At 37.7% G+C, this 17,636-nt stretch overlaps 2 protein-coding genes across 3 annotated transcripts in view, besides 1 other annotated feature; both read left to right on the forward strand.

Moving 5' to 3' along the window:
• The window catches only part of SLCO1B3 (solute carrier organic anion transporter family member 1B3), a 106,207-nt gene continuing 88,897 nt past the window's right edge, over positions 327 to 17,636 (forward strand). The window contains exons 1-3 of one of the 2 annotated variants that reach the window (NM_019844.4): positions 327 to 386; positions 3,146 to 3,260; positions 5,296 to 5,444. In NM_019844.4, the coding sequence (NP_062818.1) occupies positions 5,361 to 5,444 (84 nt within the window). In that variant the 5' untranslated portion in view covers positions 327 to 386; positions 3,146 to 3,260; positions 5,296 to 5,360. Of the gene's footprint in view, positions 387 to 3,145; positions 3,261 to 5,295; positions 5,445 to 12,169; positions 12,296 to 17,636 lie in introns of those variants that run through there. The other variant, NM_001349920.2, reaches the window with a different exon arrangement.
• The window catches only part of SLCO1B3-SLCO1B7 (SLCO1B3-SLCO1B7 readthrough), a 275,549-nt gene continuing 263,208 nt past the window's right edge, over positions 5,296 to 17,636 (forward strand). The window contains exon 1 of the mRNA NM_001371097.1: positions 5,296 to 5,444. Coding sequence (NP_001358026.1) covers positions 5,361 to 5,444 — 84 coding nt within the window. The 5' untranslated portion in view covers positions 5,296 to 5,360. The remainder of the gene's footprint in view (positions 5,445 to 17,636) is intronic.
• Positions 11,358 to 12,557: an enhancer, noted in NCBI's record as "P300/CBP strongly-dependent group 1 enhancer chr12:20974670-20975869 (GRCh37/hg19 assembly coordinates)". NCBI's record gives its function as "activates an origin of replication core promoter dependent on BRD2, BRD4, P300/CBP, MED14 and CDK7 cofactors, with strong dependence on P300/CBP, by STARR-seq in HCT116 cells {active_cell/tissue: HCT116}" and the evidence as "EXISTENCE:reporter gene assay evidence [ECO:0000049][PMID:35650434]".

The raw sequence follows: 17,636 nt of genomic DNA on the forward strand, positions 1-17,636 counted from the left end.
GACATATTTTCTATTTGGAATAGTTTTAAATACTTTGGATAATGTGTTGTATTTGTATTTCTAAAGAAGAAAATCTTATGCAACCAACTTAATTGAATAAGAAATAAATCATTCCCAGAAATAATTTATTTTCTAATGTTAACATAATGTGTACATTCTGAGAAATTATTAATAAAATGTTTAAAAGATAGGCTTCTGGGGTGAACTCCTAGAATTAGCTAGGTATGTTTTTTCTGTTTGCCTAGGACAATGACCTAATAAGATGGTTAATCATCATTGGACTCATAAAAACAAACAAATAAAAAGCCAACTAACCATTTAAAGTGAGACTTTAACATCAGAAAAAGGATGGACTTGTTGCAGTTGCTGTAGCATTCAAAGTCAAGGTAAGAACCGTCGAGGTTGTCTAATTAAAACATTTCTTTTATGTAAGAAATTTTAACAAATTTCAGTGAAAATGTTTTTGGTAGTTATGATAAATATTACAGATTTTATGCTCTGTGTCTTCTCCACACTTTTGTTCTGAGCCCTTAAAGCCTTGTAAATATCCCTTCTAGAAATAGAAGAGCCTCAGATTTATATACTCAAAAATAAGAGTAAATCATACCTTTATAAAGTGAAAAATAAAGTTTGGAGTCCTATTTCTATTGCTTTCTAAACAAATGAAACATGAAGTCTGAAAGGATGGACTTCTAGTTACTCTCTTAAAATATACTATAAGATAATTATTTGTATAAACTGTATTGAATTACTATACCAGGCTCCCTATTTCTTTGATTTCACTTTAACTGGATAAGTAGGAGTGGGCGGGTGGAGGGGTGGAAAATATGTTTCAAAGTCACTTAATCACCTCACTTTCCTCCATTCAACTCGTTTGATTTAGGGTGAGGGGAAAGAGATTTTCTAGATAACTTTTTTATCTCTGTTCAAATAAGAGAAAAAAATCTTCTGGGCACAGCTCTTGGAAAGAATTAACAGCTCAATAAATAATGGTCCCCTTCACCCATTCAGGAAGGTGGCTTCCCTGATAAGACAGTTATTTTTATTGTGAAAGTAAGGTGGGGATGCAGAAATTCTCTCCTCTGAACAATCTAAGAAGTTAGGAAATGCTGTTTTCCCTTTTATCCTCCTCAGTTCCATAGGTACATGCTAGAAACTGGGTCACTTGGCCTGCACTGGTTTTCTATAACCCCTTAAATATGAAAAGCTAAACAGAAATAAGCAGAGGCTGGTAAGATTCTGCCCTCTACTTCAGCCCAATCAAACTGTGAAGAACTGACCTGTTCTGTTCAGGGAAGAGTTGCAATGCTGCATACAAATGCCTGTGGCTCTGTCTATAAACATATTGTGTCCTCAACATTTATTTATGTCAATAATTTGGAACTCAGAAATAATATGTTCAGAGCAAAATATATTAAACGCTTCTAAATAAGGCTTAAAATGCCACAATGAAGTAAAAAGTGTGGTATTTATTCAAGGCTAAATTGATATTCAAGTTTTGTAGGTACTTTGTACTTACTTGATACATTTTTTTTTTTTTTTTTTTGAGAAGGAGTTTCGCTCTTGTTGCCCAGGCTGGAGTGCAATGGCGTGATTTCAGCTCACCACAACCTCAGCCTCCTGGGTTCAAGTGATTCTCCTGCCTGAGCTTCCAGAGTAGCTGAGATTACAGGCATGTACCACCACACCCAGCTAATTTTGTATTTTTGGCAGAAATGGGGTTTCTCTGTGTTGGTCAGGCTGGTCTCGAACTCCCAACCTCAGGTGATCTGCCCGCCTCGGCCTCCCAAAGTGCTGGGATTACAGGCATGAGTCACTGCTCCCGGCCTACTTGATACAATTTAACCTTTCTGAGAGATGAGAAACCAAGTGCCCACATTTCTTATTTTTCTGGATGGGTATTTTATCTGAACATAAAAGAGAGAGGTGTGGAATAGTTGTCTTGGAAAGTACGGGAAATAACAGAAAAAAGTAATGATTATTCGGGTATGTTCTCCAGTGGTACAGAAGGATGAGAGGATGAGAGAGTTTATTTCAACTAGAGGTAAATAGGGAAACATTAAAGTGGTGTGATTTGGAGCCGCATTACAGCCAAGAGATAGGGAAGGACATTCCAGGAATGGAAGACATATACATGAAGGTAGAGAGCTTTTCTGTTGGGACAGTGGTTCCATACATCTGCAAGTGCTTATGGTTGTATTGGGAAATGGGACTAAAAACTTGGATTCATTTAGGCTGTGAAGACCCTCAAATAGGAAGTGTAAGTTTTATTTTTGTTGTAAGAGGGATCTTTGAATGATTCCAAGAATGGACATGATATGCATAGGAAAGAAAGCAAGCTGGAAGACAGGACAAGTAGAAATTAATCAATTGAAAGAAACAAGGCTTGAGTGGTGAGATAATAGTCTTCAAGCCTTCAAGAATATTTGTTTAGTATAAAGAAAAAGAAAACTCTAAAGCTGAAGGAAGACTATCTGCCTTGCAAGTCGTTCAAAAAGATTTGCAATTATAGAATTAATTGGTAAAAAATAAATATTTTCCAACTTTTAAATTATGAAGAAACAGAGATATTCGTGGAAAAAGTGGTGTAAATTTATTAAGGGGCTGCTTATTACCTTGAGACCACCAAATTATTGATTTTTTTCCTCACTTTACCTACAAAACACATACAAAAAGTGGAATAATTGAACTTCTCTTAGAGATACATAGGTATGGGTTTCTCCATTCATGAGTGTATTTATATACACTCGCATATACATAAGTGATAATATCTTCAGATATTGATTTTTCCATATTCATGCATTATCCACTAAATATGCATGATATATATTTATGGTTTTTATGCATTTATAATATAGAGAATCAATAAATCCTTGTTGAGTAAATTAATGCATAAAATATGCAGTAGATCTTCATTATTCACAGATTCTATATTAGAAAATTTGTCTAAACACTAAAATTTGTTTGTGACACCAAAATTAATACTGCTGGGCTTTTGTGATCATTGGCATGCATGAGCAGAGTGGTGAAAAATTTGAGTTGCTCTGTTTCCAGTTGAAGTGGAACAAAGTGAAGCTCTGCCTTCCTCTCTCAGCTCCCATACTATAAACTTCACAGTGCATTTATCGCCACATTGTTTCCATAGTTGTGCTTTGCGATGCTGAGTTTACTGTTTTAAATGGACTTCAAGCATAGCCCTGAAGTGTTGTCCCGTTGTTCCCACCTCCTAGAGGGCCTGACAGAAGAGGTACATATGCTATGTAAGTTTCCCTCAGGCATGAACTACAGTGCTATTGGCCACTAATTCAATGTTAATGAATCAACAGTATATACTAAGGTGTCTTTAAACAAAAACATACATAAAACATTATGTATTAAGTTATGTATTGATCCGTTGATTAAAATATTGTGACCAAAGCCACACAGTCACCTAACACTGTATCTCTTCTAGGAATGATGGATTAATATTTGCAAATTCAGTGTTCCCAGCAACTTTATGGAACATAATTATTGCAAAACGTGAGAATCAATTGTACATATAACCTATATCATACATATTATATAATCAGTATCCTATTACAAATCGGATGCTTATATAGATAACATTGATATTTACATACTTAGATATTTACATATCTAAGGTATCTATATGAGCAGCTACATAGCAAGTATCTACATAGCATGTATCCACATATATATGCTATATACATAACATATACCTATATCTATGTTATGTGTCTGCTTATATACTTTATATACATAAATATGTGTTATGCATATATGTATGAACAAGAATACATCTCTAAACCTTATAAATATTCCACTGTTCTATATAAAAGAGTCAACTGACGTAAAAAGTTGACTCATTTTACTGGTCTTTAAAATAGGGGCTTAATAACTCTGAAACTTATGATTTCTCATATACTTTGACTTCAAAACTTCACTTGTAGGAATTTATCCTACAGATATGACCACACAGAAAATGACATATAACATATTAAGAACATTTTCTAATATGAAATAATTAGATATAAGCTAAATAGTTAACGATATAGAACTAGTTACATATATTATGAACAACAGAATACCCTGCTACCATAAGCAAAATGAGGACTTTTATTAATATAAAGTATATACAGAAGATAAAAAGGTAGAGTGCAGTAATACTGGTATGCTTACATTTATATTAAAAGAGAAAATATTATGTATTTAATTAAAAATGCATATTAAGGCTGGGCGCGGTGGTTCACGCCTGTAATCCCAGCACTTTGGGAGGCCGAGGCGGGCGGATCAGGAGGTCAGGAGATCGAGACCATGCTGGCTAACACGGTGAAACCCTGTCTCTACTAAAAATACAAAACAATTAGCCGGGCGTTGTGGCACGCACCTGCGCCTGTGGTCCCAGCTACTCAGGAGGCTGAGGCAGGAGAATGGCGTGAACCTGGGAGGCAGAGCTTACAGTGAGCCGAGATCACGCTACTGCCCTCCAGCCCGGGAGACAGAGCAAGACTCCGTCTCAAAAAAAAAAAATAAAAAAGCATACCAGATTTCTGGATAAGGGGACAAAGGTTATAAGCAGAATCTTGCCTTTTCTTTTCTTTTCTTTTTTTTTTTTTTTGCATTTTTCAACTACATGCATGTATTTTCTCTTGAAAAATAAGTGGATAAACCCTAAATACAGTAAGATCATGATGATGGTAAGGTCAAGCATGGCCAGAGTCTCTCTGAGAGATACTTGGAATATATTTTGCTCTTTTAAACAAATCCAAACTTTATCTGCTTTTTGAGCCTTGTTCCATAGGCATCTCCTCTATGAAACTGACTGAGGCTATCCTAATCATTATTATTTACATTATTTTTCAACCCATTTTGAGTATCCACTATGTGCAAGTCATCATTTGGCACTTTATAAACTTATAAGGATAACGTAAACATAAATTTCCTTTCATAAATCTTGTAATCTGGATATGTAGAAAATATAAAAATTTTAATTTCTATAATTTAAAATTGTTGTTCATACAATCTAGTGTGTGGTTTTATATTATTTACTTGTTTCAAATTTCTCTCTATGAAAATTATTTTTCTAAGCAAATTATAATCTCTTTAGGCTAGGAGTTTGTCTCTGTCTTTCCTCCTCTGTGTCCAGCATTGACCTAGTCCTGTGGTCAGGAAATAGCAGGCCCTGAATGAATATTAGAGAATGATTGATTGATTGATATTGAGCTTGTGGCTTTTCCTATTTTTAAATTGTATATTGTTAAAGTAAAATAAATTATACTTTTTCTTTTTTAACAGGTGATCATTTCAAACCAAGCATCAGCAACAATTAAAAATATTCACTTGGTATCTGTAGTTTAATAATGGACCAACATCAACATTTGAATAAAACAGCAGAGTCAGCATCTTCAGAGAAAAAGAAAACAAGACGCTGCAATGGATTCAAGGTAGAATGGGTTTTATATTTTCAAACTAAAATAAGTTAATGGAAAATTTTTATGTATAGAAAGGCCACTAACTGTCAAAAAGAACATTATATCTCATATTACAATTTTTCCATTGAAGCGTACATTAAAATATTAACAAAATAATCCCTATATTGATTTAAATCAGTTTTTAATCTGATTGAAGTTATTTCTTTGCTAGAATTTTTTGATGAATAAAGGTTTATTTATTTTTAACTTTTTAATTTTTAATTTTTGTGGGTATGTAGTAGGTATGTATGTTTATGGGGTACATGAGATGATTTGGTACAGGCATGCAATGTGAAATAAGCAAATAATGAACAATGCGGCATCCATTTCCTCAAGCATTTTTTCATTGAGTTGCACACCATCCAATTATACTTTATTTTAAAAGGTACAGTTAAGTAATTGACTATAGTCACCCTGTGGGCTATCAAATAGTAGGTCTTATTCATTCTTTTTAACTATTTTTTGTACCCATAAATCATCCCCATCTTCCTACCCCCACACCCCCATGACCCTTTCCAGCCTCTGGTAACCATCCTTCTACTCACTGTGTCCATGAATTCAATTGTTTTGATGTTTAGATCCCACAAATAACTGAGAACATGCAATGTTTGTCTTTCTGTGCCTGGATTATTTCAGTTAACATAATGATCTCCAGTTCATTTTGTTGCAAATGACTAGATTTCATTCTTTCTATAGCTGAATAGTACTCCATTGTGTATATGTCCCACTTTTTTTTACGCATTCATCTGCTGATGCACACTTACATTGCTTCCATATCTTAGTTATTGTAAACAGTGCTGCAACAAACATGGAAGTACAGATAATCTTAGATATACGAATTCGCTTTCTTTTGGGTATATACCCAGCAGTGGGATTGCTGGATCACGTGGTAGCTCAATTTTTAGTTCCTTGAGGAACCTCCAGACTGTTCTTCATAGTGGTCCTACTAATTTTTATTGCTACCAACAGTGTACAAGGAATTCCTTTTACTCCACAACCTCACCAGCATTTGTTATTGCCTGTCTTTGGGATATAAGCCATTTTAACTGGGGGTGAGATAGCATCTCATTGTAGTATTGATTTGCATTTCTCTGATGATCACTGATGTTGAGCACTTCTTCCTATGCCTGTGTGCTATTTGTATGTCTTCTTTTGAGAAATGTATATTCAAATATTTTGCCTACCTTTTGATCGGATTATTAGATTTGGTCCTATAGAATTGTTTGATCTACTTAGACATTCTGGTGATTAATTCCTTGACAGATGGGTAGTTTACAAATATTTTCTCCTACTCTGTGGGTTGTCTCTTCACTTTGTTGATTGTATCCTTTTCTATGCAGAAACATTTTAACTAGATGTGATCCTGTTTGTCAATTTTTCTTTGGTTGCCTGTGTTTCTGGGGTAAGAAATTTGCTCAAGAAATTTTTGCCCAGATGAACGTCCTGGAGAGTTTCCCCAATATTTTATTGAGGTAGTTTTATGGGTTGAGGTCTTTAGATTTAAGTCTTTAGTTCATTTTGATTTGTTTTTGTATATGGCTAGAAATAGGGGTCTAGTTTCATCCTAGCACCATTTATTGAAGTGACTGTCTTTTCCCCATTGAATGTTCCTGGCACCTTTGTCAAGAATAAGCTCACTGTAGGTGTGTGGATTTGTTTCTGGGTTCTCTATTCTGATTCATTGGTCTATGTGTCTGTTTATATGCCAGTACCATGCTGTTTTGGTTACTATAACTCTATAGTATAATTTTTTTTTGAGATGGAGTCTCGCTCTGTCACCCAGGCTGGAGTGCAGTGGCATGATCTCGGCTCACTGCAAGCTCCACCTGCTGGGTTCATGCCATTATCCTGCCTCAGCCTCCTGAGTAGCTGGGACTACAGGCACCCGCCACCACACCCAGCTAATTTTTTTTTTTATTTGTAGTAGAGATGAGGTTTCACCATGTTAGCCAGGATGGTCTCGATCTCCTGACCTCGTGATCCGCCTGCCTCGGCCTCCGAAAGTGCTGGGATTACAGCTTGAGCCACCGTGCCTGGCCACTCTGTAGTCACTCTTCTAGAGTGGCAGTTTGGGGATAGCACCAGGAGATATCAGCTGTGATGGCTTGGAGAAACGGTGTAAACCAGCAGTGTAAACAAGAGCAGGGCATGTATGAGTAGTTGAGAACGGTGAATAGGAGTATGACTAGACAGAAGATAGTAGGGATGAAAAGTTTTTTTGGGGCACAGTCTAAGTTGGTCTGGTGTCTGGAATGAGACTGGGGCCTAATAAAAAGGAGCGTCTATACAGGAGCTTAAATGGGCTGTACCTTGTAGCATTCTGAGGACAGGTCTGACTTCTGAGAAGGGAAAGTGGTAAAAGTAGTGTCCAGTCCTTTTTAAGTTGGTGGCTGAGCTTGGTGAGGTGTGTTTTTAATAGACTATTAGTTTGTCACTGGATACTAAGAGCCTAAAAAAATGCTTGACTGATTTGACTAATAAGGGCTGGTCTTTTATCAGACTGTATAGAGGTGGGAAGGCTAAACTGAGGAATTATGTCTGACAGAAGGGAAGAAATGACTGCAGTGGCCTTCTCAGACCCTATAGGAAAGGCCTCTACCTATCTAGTGAAAGTGTCTACTTAGACAAAGAGGTATTTTAGTTTTTGGGACTCGGGGTATGTTGAGTAAAGCTAATTTGCCAGTCCTGGGTGGGGGCAAATCCTCGAGCTTGTTGTGTAGGGAAGGGGCCTGAATAATCCTTGAGGAGTAGCAGATGGAATAGCAGATGGAACACTAAGAAGTTATTTCCTTGAGGATAGATTTCTACGATGGAAAGGAAATGAAAGGTTCTAAGAGGCGGGCTAGTGGCTTGTACTATAGCATAGCCTGCCTTTGCTGGTGTGTGGTGATTAGGCCTGGTGGAACTGCCATCAATAAATCAAGCGTGATCAGGGTGAGAAACAGGGACGAAGGAAATGTGGGGAAATGGGATGAACATCAGGTGGATCAGAGAGATGCAGTCATGAGGGTCAGGTGTGGTGTCTGGAATAATGTGGGAGGCTGGATTGAAGTCCGGGCCAGGAACAATGGTAATTGTGGGACTTAACAAAGAGTGAGTACAGCTGAAGGAGCCAGGGAGCAGAAAGTATATGCGTCAGGTATGAGGAAGAAAATAGATTTTGGAAGTTATGAGAAATGTAGAGAGTGAGTTGAGCATAGTTTGTGATTTTGAGGGCCTCTAAAAGTACTAAAGCAGCGGCAGCCGCTGCACGCGGACATGAGGGCTAGGCTAAAACAGTAAGGTCAAGTTGTTTGGACAGAAAGGCTACAGGGTGCGGTCCTGGCTCTTGTGTAAGAATTCTGACCACATTAACCATGCCTAGGAAGGAAAGGAGTTGTTGTTTTGTAAGGGATTGAGGTTTGGGAGATTAATCGGACACGATCATCAGGGAGAGCATGTGTGTTTTTACGAGAATTATGCCGAGATAGGTAACAGATGAGGATGAAATTTGCGCTTGACTGAAGTAATGGGGTCTGTCTGTGAAGCCTTGTGGCAGTGCAGCCCAGGTAATTTGCTGAGCCTGATGGGTGTCAGGGTCAGTCCAAGTGAAAGCGAAGAGAGGCTTGGATGACTGGTGCAAAAGAATAGTAAAGAAAGCATGTTTGAGATCCAGAACAGAATAATGGATTGTGGAGGGAGGTATTGAGGATAGTAGAGTATATGGGTTTGGTACCATGAGGTGGATAGGCAAAATAATTTGGTTGATAAGGCATAGATCCTGAGCTAACTTGTAAGGCTTGTCTGGTTTTAGGACAGGTAAAATGGGGGAATTGTAAGGAGAGTTTATAGGCTTTAAAAGGCCATGCTGTAGCAGGCGAGTGATAACAGGCTTTAATCCTTTCAAAGCATGCTGTAATGGGATATTGGCACTGAGCGGGGTAAGGGTGATTAGGTTTTAATGAGATGATAAGGGGTGCATGATCGGTCACCAAGGAGGGAGTAGAGGTATCTTATACTTGTGGGTTAAGGTGGGGGAATACAAGAAGAGGATGCAAAGGAGGCTTTGGATTGGGAAGAAGGGCAGCAATGAGATGCGGCTGTAGTCCAGGAATAGTCAGGGAAGCAGATAATTTGGTTAAAATATCTCGGCCTAATAAGGGAACTGGGCAGGTGGGGATAACTAAAAAAGAGTGCATAAAAGAGTATTGTCTAAGTTGGCACCAGAGTTGGGGAGTTTTAAGAGGTTTAGAAGCCTGGCTGTCAATACCCACAACAGTTATGGAGGCAAGGGAAACAGGCCCTTGAAAAGAAGGTAATGTGGAGTGGGTAGCCTCCATATTGATTAAGAAGGGGACGGACTTACCCTCCACTGTGAGAGTTACCTAAAGCTCGGCGTCCGTGATGGTCTATGGGGCTTCTGAGGTGATCAGGCAGCATCAGTCTTCAGCCGCTACGCCAAGAAGGAGTCAGTCAGAGAGCCTTGGGCCAGAGTTCCAGGGGCTCTGGGAGTGGCTGCCAGGTGAGTTGAACAGTCCGATTTCCACTGGGGTCCCACACAGATGGGACACGGCTTAGGAGGAATCCTGGGCTGCGGGCATTACTTGGCCTGGTGGTCAGATTTCTGGCACTTGTAGCAAGCTCCTGGGGGAGGAGGTTCTGGAGGAATGCCTGGCCACTGAGGTTCAGGCGTTTGGAAGTTCTTGTGTGCTGGAGATGTGGCTGGGGTTTGTCTCACAGTGGAGGCAAGGAATTGCAACTTTGTTTTATTACTGTACACCTTGAAAGTGAGGTTAATTAAGTCCTGTTATGGGGTTTGAGGGCCAGATTCCAATTTTTGGAGTTTTATTTAATGTCAGGAGCAGATTGGGTAATAAAATGTATATTGAGAATAAGATGGCCTTTTGACCTTTTAGGGTCTAGGGCTGTAAAGCATCTCAGGGTTGCTGCCGAATGAGCCATGAACTGGGCTGGGTTTTTATATTTGATGAAAAAGAGCCTAAACGCTTCTGATTTGGGATAAAGAAAAAGGAGCATTAACCTTGACTATGCCTTTGGCTCCAGCCACCTTTTTAAGAGTAAATTGCTGGGCAGGTGGGGGAGGGGTAGTCATGGAACAAAACTGTAAGCCGGATCAGGTGTGAGGAGGGGAGGCGATAAAAAGTTTATAGGGTGGAGGAGCAGAGGCTGAGGAAGAATTGGGAACTAGCTCGGCCTGGCGAGGAGGGGAGAGGTCAGATGGGTCTGTAGAAAAGGAAGATTAGAAAGACTCAGCGACGCTTGGGGTTGGGCCTGAGGGGACAGGCGGGAGGGAAAGAAGGAAGATTTGGGATGAATTGCATTGGGCAGAGACTAGGAAGGGACTGATGTGTAAAAGAATGCCTGGACATCAGGCACCTCAGACCATTTGCCCGTTTTACGACAAGAATTATTTAGGTCTTGTAGGATGGAAAAATTGAAAGTGCCGTTTTTCTGGCAATTTGTAACTACTGTCGAGTTTGTACTGGGGTCAAGCGGCATTGCAGAAGAAAAAAGACGCTTAGATTTTAGGTCAGGTGAGAGTTGAAGAGGTTTTAAGTTCTTAAGAATACAGGCTAAGGGAGAAGAAGGAGGAATGGAAGGTGGAAGCTAGTCCATAGTGAAGGAGGCAAGCCCAGAGAAAAGAGTAGAGACACGGAGAAGTGATGGGGGTTTCTTGCCCTCCAGAAAAGCAGAGAAAGGGTTGGGGCACGGAAATAAGGGATTGGGGGTTCTTGCCCCCTAGAAAAGCGGGACTTGCCACTAAGGGTGAAGGAGAAGGGGTTGAGGGGTACTTGCCCCTCCCCCAGAAAAGCAGAGAAGGGGTAGAGACATGGAGAGAAGGGGTTGGGGTACTTGCCCCTCCCCCAGAAAAGCGGGACTTGCGGCTAAGGGTGAAGGACCAAGGCAGGCATCCCTGCGTGGTCTGACACCTTTGAAATGTGGGTGAATAATCAGAGAGGCATCCCTGCAATGATTAAACACCAAGGGAAGGCTGCCTTCCCAGTCCGTGACCGGCACCGGAGTTTTGGGTCCACGGATAAAACATGTCTCCTTTGTCTCTATCCGAAAATGAAAGGAATTGAAATTAAGAGAAGGGAGAGATTGAAGTGTGGTGTCAAGATTGAAAGGAGAAAGAGGTTGAGGGATAGTGAAGGAAGTTGGAGAAGAGAGTAAAAAGAGGCCGCTTACCGGATTTGAAATTGGTGAGATGTTTCTTGGGCTGGTCGGTCTGAGGACCTGAGGTCGTAGATGGATCTTTCTCACGGAGCAAAGAGCAGGAGGACGGGGGATTGATCTCCCAAGGGAGGTCCCCCGATCCAAGTCACGGCACCAAATTTCATGTGTGTCCATGTGAAGAGACCACCAAACAGGCTTTGTGTGAGCAATAAAGCTGTTTATTTCACCTGGATGCGGTTGGGCTGAGTCCGAAAAGAGAGTCAGTGAAGGGAGATAAGGGTGGGGCCGTTTTATAGGATTTGGGAAGGTAAAGGAAAATTACAGTCAAAGGGGGTTGTTCTCTGGTGGGCAGGGGCGGGGGTCACAAGGTGCTCGGTGGGGGAGCTTCTGAGCCAGGAGAAGGAAATTCAAAGGGTTAGTCACTCAGTTAAGGTGGGGCAGGAACAAATCACAATGGTGGAATGTCATCAGTTAAGGCGGGGCAGGGCCTTTCACTTCTTTTGTGATTCTTCAGTTACTTCAGGCCATCTCGGCGTATACGTGCAAGTCACAGGGGATGGGATGGCTTGGCTTGGGCTCAGAGACCTGACAGTGGCAATGTATGGCCACGTTACTGAATCTACATGTTGCAAGAGAAAAACTAGCAGGTAAGGGAATGGTCAGTTATTTATTTGTCTTGTGCTCAGTAAATCGGCACTTTACACAATATAAGGTGAACATAGACTAGCTACCTGTGGAAATATTTAACCTTTTATCTGTAGCTATCTGCTTAAGGAAGGGCATCTTTTTGCAGAACTCAGCTTTTAGCTTAATTTTGTTTCTTATGTCATAGTGAATTGGGGTCTCAAGTTTTTATTTTCCTTTCATACCCCTGCCTTTTTCCTTTTAAAATCTTTTGAAGAAAGCATTTTAGAAGAAAATTACTCCCTGGTCTTGAATTTTGTCTGATCTCGCATGGCTGTGATGTTTTATTCCTAGACCAATAGATCCCACGTTATTAGGAATGCTCATTTTTAGCAGGTTGTGAAATCTTATGTCCTGCAAAGAAAAAAATAGGAGGAGGAAGAGAGACAAACACACAGTAGAAGGAACAATCCTGGAAAACTGATATAGGCCATATCACTCTGAAGTGTGTTGTCAGTAGGCACATATGAAAATGTTTCGTGTGTATAAATCGGTTTCTGTTATTTTCTTCTGAAGTTTAAGTTGTCTAGTTTGCATCCCCATGGCTTAAGAAAATCACAGCTTAATATTTAGTAATTTCAAATTGGACAATAGGGGGAAAAGGAAAATGAAAGGAAAGGAGAAAAGAAAGAAAAAATTGAAAACATTATTTGGAGACTTGTAGTCAGGAAAAATTTTAGACTTTATTTCATATTGTAGAAAATAATAAAAACTGATAAACCTTAGGCAAGACTAGAATCAAACAACAGGTACTATAATTTATAGAAGCATAATTTTTCTCTCTTCAATTCCCCAGTTTTATTAAACAGAAAATCATAGTAGGACCAATTTATTGGTAAAATAAATTTTAGTACTTTTACACTTGGTTTAATTATTTGTATAAAGTGCAACAAGAATAATCATTTGCCATATAGGAGCTCTCTCTCTTTTTGTGAATTGGCTTTGCTGGATCTTTTTGCACTACGAATGTAAGATTAGACGTTTGTGAATGCCTGAAGCCTAGCCAAGGATTTATCTGTGCCTGCAGATACATATGTGAATTGGGTGAATTCTTCTCTTTCTGAGGTCTTAAGAAAGCTTGGAGTTCCTGGACCAGTCAAAAAGTGACATTCTTTACTTACCACAGGTCATGACCCTGTAAAGGATAAGATATGGGGCTAGTTTTTCCAAGGGGCTTCTATTGGCTCTGTAGGTCAGCCTCCTTTTCTCAAGGCAATCGGAAAATGTCATTCCAGTCAAGGACTTAGTAAAATAACGAGTGTCTCGAATTACGTCCTGTGATAAAAGAAAATATATTCTTATTAAACTTATGCAAATAATTATATTGCCATAAATTGAGAATACTCTCAAAATAGTTTTCAAATTTTGGAGAAATTAGGTTGAGAGAAAGGAATTATATTTTTAATTTTGCTCATAAGAACAAATTTTAGTGAATTTACTAAATTCACTTTATTAAATTGTTAAAGCTGTAAATAGCTTAAAAGGAAAGTTTTCTTGACTCTGAAAAATAAAACCAATCAGCAAATGTTTTAAACAAAATCTTATACAAGATTATTTCAGTCTTCTATTAGTTTGGTCCATGCAATTAACTCCATGTTCTGCTCAATATTGGATCAGCAAGACTTATTAATACATGAGCTCTCCATGAAAGGCCTGGACATTTTCCTATCTATTCCAATGATGCTATATCTAAATTTATCAAAAACTTATTTTTTAGGAGTACTCCTCAGAGTTCAATAGCAGATTACAAACTGTCCTATAAAAGGATTAAAGTAAAACAACAATTGTGAATGACAAAAATCTTAGAACAGCCATGGTTAAAGACACCATTGACAAGTAAATTTGGTTTCTTCTGTGGCATACAGCAATTTTCCATAATAATCATAATTACTACTGACAACATCTACTAAGACATATTAGAATCACAGGAATTGCATATATTTTTGAAACACATAATAATAACACATTCACATAAATATAATATAATCCAAAGAAGGTTAAATGTCATTGTTTATTTGACAGTGCTTCCTGTGTGACTTTACTATACCAAATAAGTCAAATATGTCTCTTTTGGACTTCCGGTGACCTATTATTAATAAATATATGAAGTCAAAGTACTAATTTTACAATTTAATTTTGGAAAGTCTGTCAAATGTCAGAAGTTTAAAATACTTAATATGATAATATAGGCTCATAGGTCATTGTAAAAGAAATCATTCATTTAGTCAAAGTGATAACTCAAAGTTTTTTTAAAAAAGGCAAAAATCTTTATTTTTTGAGAGAGGAGACTTAATTTCCCAAACAATGAGCCCTAAGAGAGACTGCATGAGGCCAATTAAATCTGTCTCTCAAATCTTATAAACAAATCTATTAAATTTTAATCATTTTGACCATAAGCTATAATTTCCATAAACCTTTAAATAACCTTTTAATGTTTTTTTAAATTAAAAAGTGGGTTAATGCTATAAGAACCTTGTTTATCTAACGCAGGGGTCCTGATGCTGGTCTTTCATCAAACTATAATATTAATGTGTAATTTATATGGAAACTCTGAACTAAGTTTATCTCTCAAAATTGGCCCTTATAATTTCACAGACGCATGTCTTCTGTGACAGTCCCTGGGATTAGAGGGGTTCAGCAGTTTTAATTTCTGGCACTGTGTCTCATGAATGCAGTTTATTTTGATTATCATCTTTTCCTGGGTCTGAAGATGAGGGTTTGACTGGTGTTACGGTTTAAGATTTAGCAGGACTTGGTGTGCTTTTTAGACCCAGAAGTAAAAGCCCTTTAATTTAACAGAATAGGCTGGCCACGGTGGCTCATTCTTGTAATCCAGGTACTTTGGGAGGCCAAGGCGGGCAGATCACTTGAGGTCTGGACTTCAAGACCAGCCTGGCCAACATGGTGAAACCCAGACTCTATTAATAAATATACAAAAATTAGCCAGATGTGGTGGTGTGCGCCTGTAATCCCAGCTGCTCAGAAAGCTAAGACAGGAGAATTGCTTGGATTTGGGAGGCAGAGATTGCAGTGAGTCGAGATTGTGGCACTGCACTCCAGCCTGGGTGACAGAGCAAGACTCTGTCTCAAAAAAAAAAAAAAAAAAGAAAGAAAGAAGAAAAACCATGAAAACTTAATAGAATTAGGACTTTAAAAGCAACACAGAAAGTAAAATGGACATGATAACCTTAATTTTTAAAATCTGTAAATCTCAATTTTTCTAAGCAAATAAAAACTTAATAAGAATAACGAATTATTTTGATAAATGTAAAATCTGTTAGACAAGTTAACAAAAAGAATAAAAAAGATCTTCTATATTATGTTTGCTTTTTCCTATGAGGAGTACATTTAAATAACATGCAATCAAAACTAATGTAAACCGTACTTGAATTAGTTAGATATAGAAAGAGTGTGTTCCGGGTGATAAATGAAAATTCTTGGTTTCATAGAACAATTAAAGCCAAGAGCACAGAGGGTTATGTTAGAAGAAAACATTTTATTTAGACCTTTAAGGTAAAACTTTTTTTTTATAATGTCAGGCCACAATAGCAGAACCTGAGGGAAAAAAATTACAGAAGCTATTGACAAAGTTGAAGGAGAAAGTTATTATCTCAATCCTTCTCAAAGGGAAGAGAAAGCTGAAAGCAGTGGGACACAATAAAAGTTGAACTTTTGGGTTAAAAAATTAAAATCTCTTGTAATTTTATTAAGAGTGAATCAATACCTTAAGAAAATGTTGTTCTAACCAATTCTTTAGTGAATTAATTCTTTTTTAATATCAAGTCTCAATCTCTGGAATGACTATTATAAATAATTTCCCTTTAATTATAGCAAACTTGATCACTTTTTTTTTTACTCATAAATCCTCTTCTTACAAACCTTATTACAATTTATACAAATCATGTATGATATGCTTGGACTTTCTGTGTTATCCTAAAGGTACCTCTTTCTTAAATAACCAGTCATTTTAGAAAAAAAAAATTAATCACACAAGATTCTTTCTCATATAAAATTATTTTCCCTTCAGCTTTTCTTACCAAAAATACCTCTTTATACCTACAACTTTCTGTGTATCTCTCTTATATACTAGTTTCTTTCACTTTGTTTCATAAACTTTAGCCTTTGTATTAGACAAAAATTATTTTCCTTTAAATAAGAACATATTTTTTAGAAAAATGTCTCCCTATATTTTTTTAAATTGGAAATAACCCAGATACTTAATGTAACATAACTTTAGATTATAAATGGTCATCATTTAAAGTTATTTGTCTGTTAATCATTTTTATAGCCTGTGATTTCAGATGTTTACCTAAGAACCTTAAGGTTAAATAACTTTTTTCTTGTTGTTGTTTTGCCAATAACTCAAAAGTTAGCTGTTTTATTAAGCCAACAATTTTCAATGCATTATTTTTACAAAAATTACACAAAGATGACCATGTTTTGGGTTATAAGCTTTATAACCCTCATGCCAAATTTGGACACCTTATAATATTTAGCAGGGATAAATATTAAACTGCTTGATCAAGAAATCTAAACAATAATGTGAATTGACAATTCTAAAGACATTTCTAATTTTATTTTACCAGCAATTAAAACACACTTATTTATTAAGGATTTTCTTAAGTCACATGAACTTGAAAAAGCATTTGGGCTTTTCTGTCTTCTGTTTTTCTGATAAAGTATTTGATTTAAATGCTTTTGTAAATCCAATTAATTACAGCTCCTTTATATATTTTTAGTAGTGAAACGTACATGACACATAAATACGTAGACTTATTAGTCATGAAGATAAAAGTAGATCTTAAAGATTCATATTTTAGATATTTTAGACTTCCAATTTAGATATTTCAGACTTCCAATTTCTTTTTTTTTTCTTTTTGAGACAGAGTCTCACTCCGTTGCCCGGGCTGGAGTGCAGTGGCATGATCTCAGTTCACTGCAATCTGTATCTCCTGGGTTCAAGCGATTCTTCTGCCGCAGCCTCCCGAGTAGCTGGGACTGCAGGCACATGCCACCATGCCAATCTAATTTTTGTATTTTTGTAGAGACAGGGTTTACCATATTGGCCAGGCTGCTCTCGAACTCCTGACCTCATGATCCGCCCGCCTTGGCCTTCCAAAGTGCTGAGATTACAGGTGTGAGCCACGGTGCACAAGCTCCAATTTCTTATGACCTGTTTAACTAGATAGCCCTAAATTTGCATACTAAAGGAACAACTCTTAGGTGAAAATCAGATAGCAAAATTTACATCTCAAGGTACAGAGAGAGAGTGGTGTGCTAGAGGGAGATTAAAAATGGATACCA

This window comes from Homo sapiens, chromosome 12, assembly GCF_000001405.40.
Source record: "Homo sapiens chromosome 12, GRCh38.p14 Primary Assembly".
Classification (NCBI taxonomy): domain Eukaryota; kingdom Metazoa; phylum Chordata; class Mammalia; order Primates; family Hominidae; genus Homo; species Homo sapiens.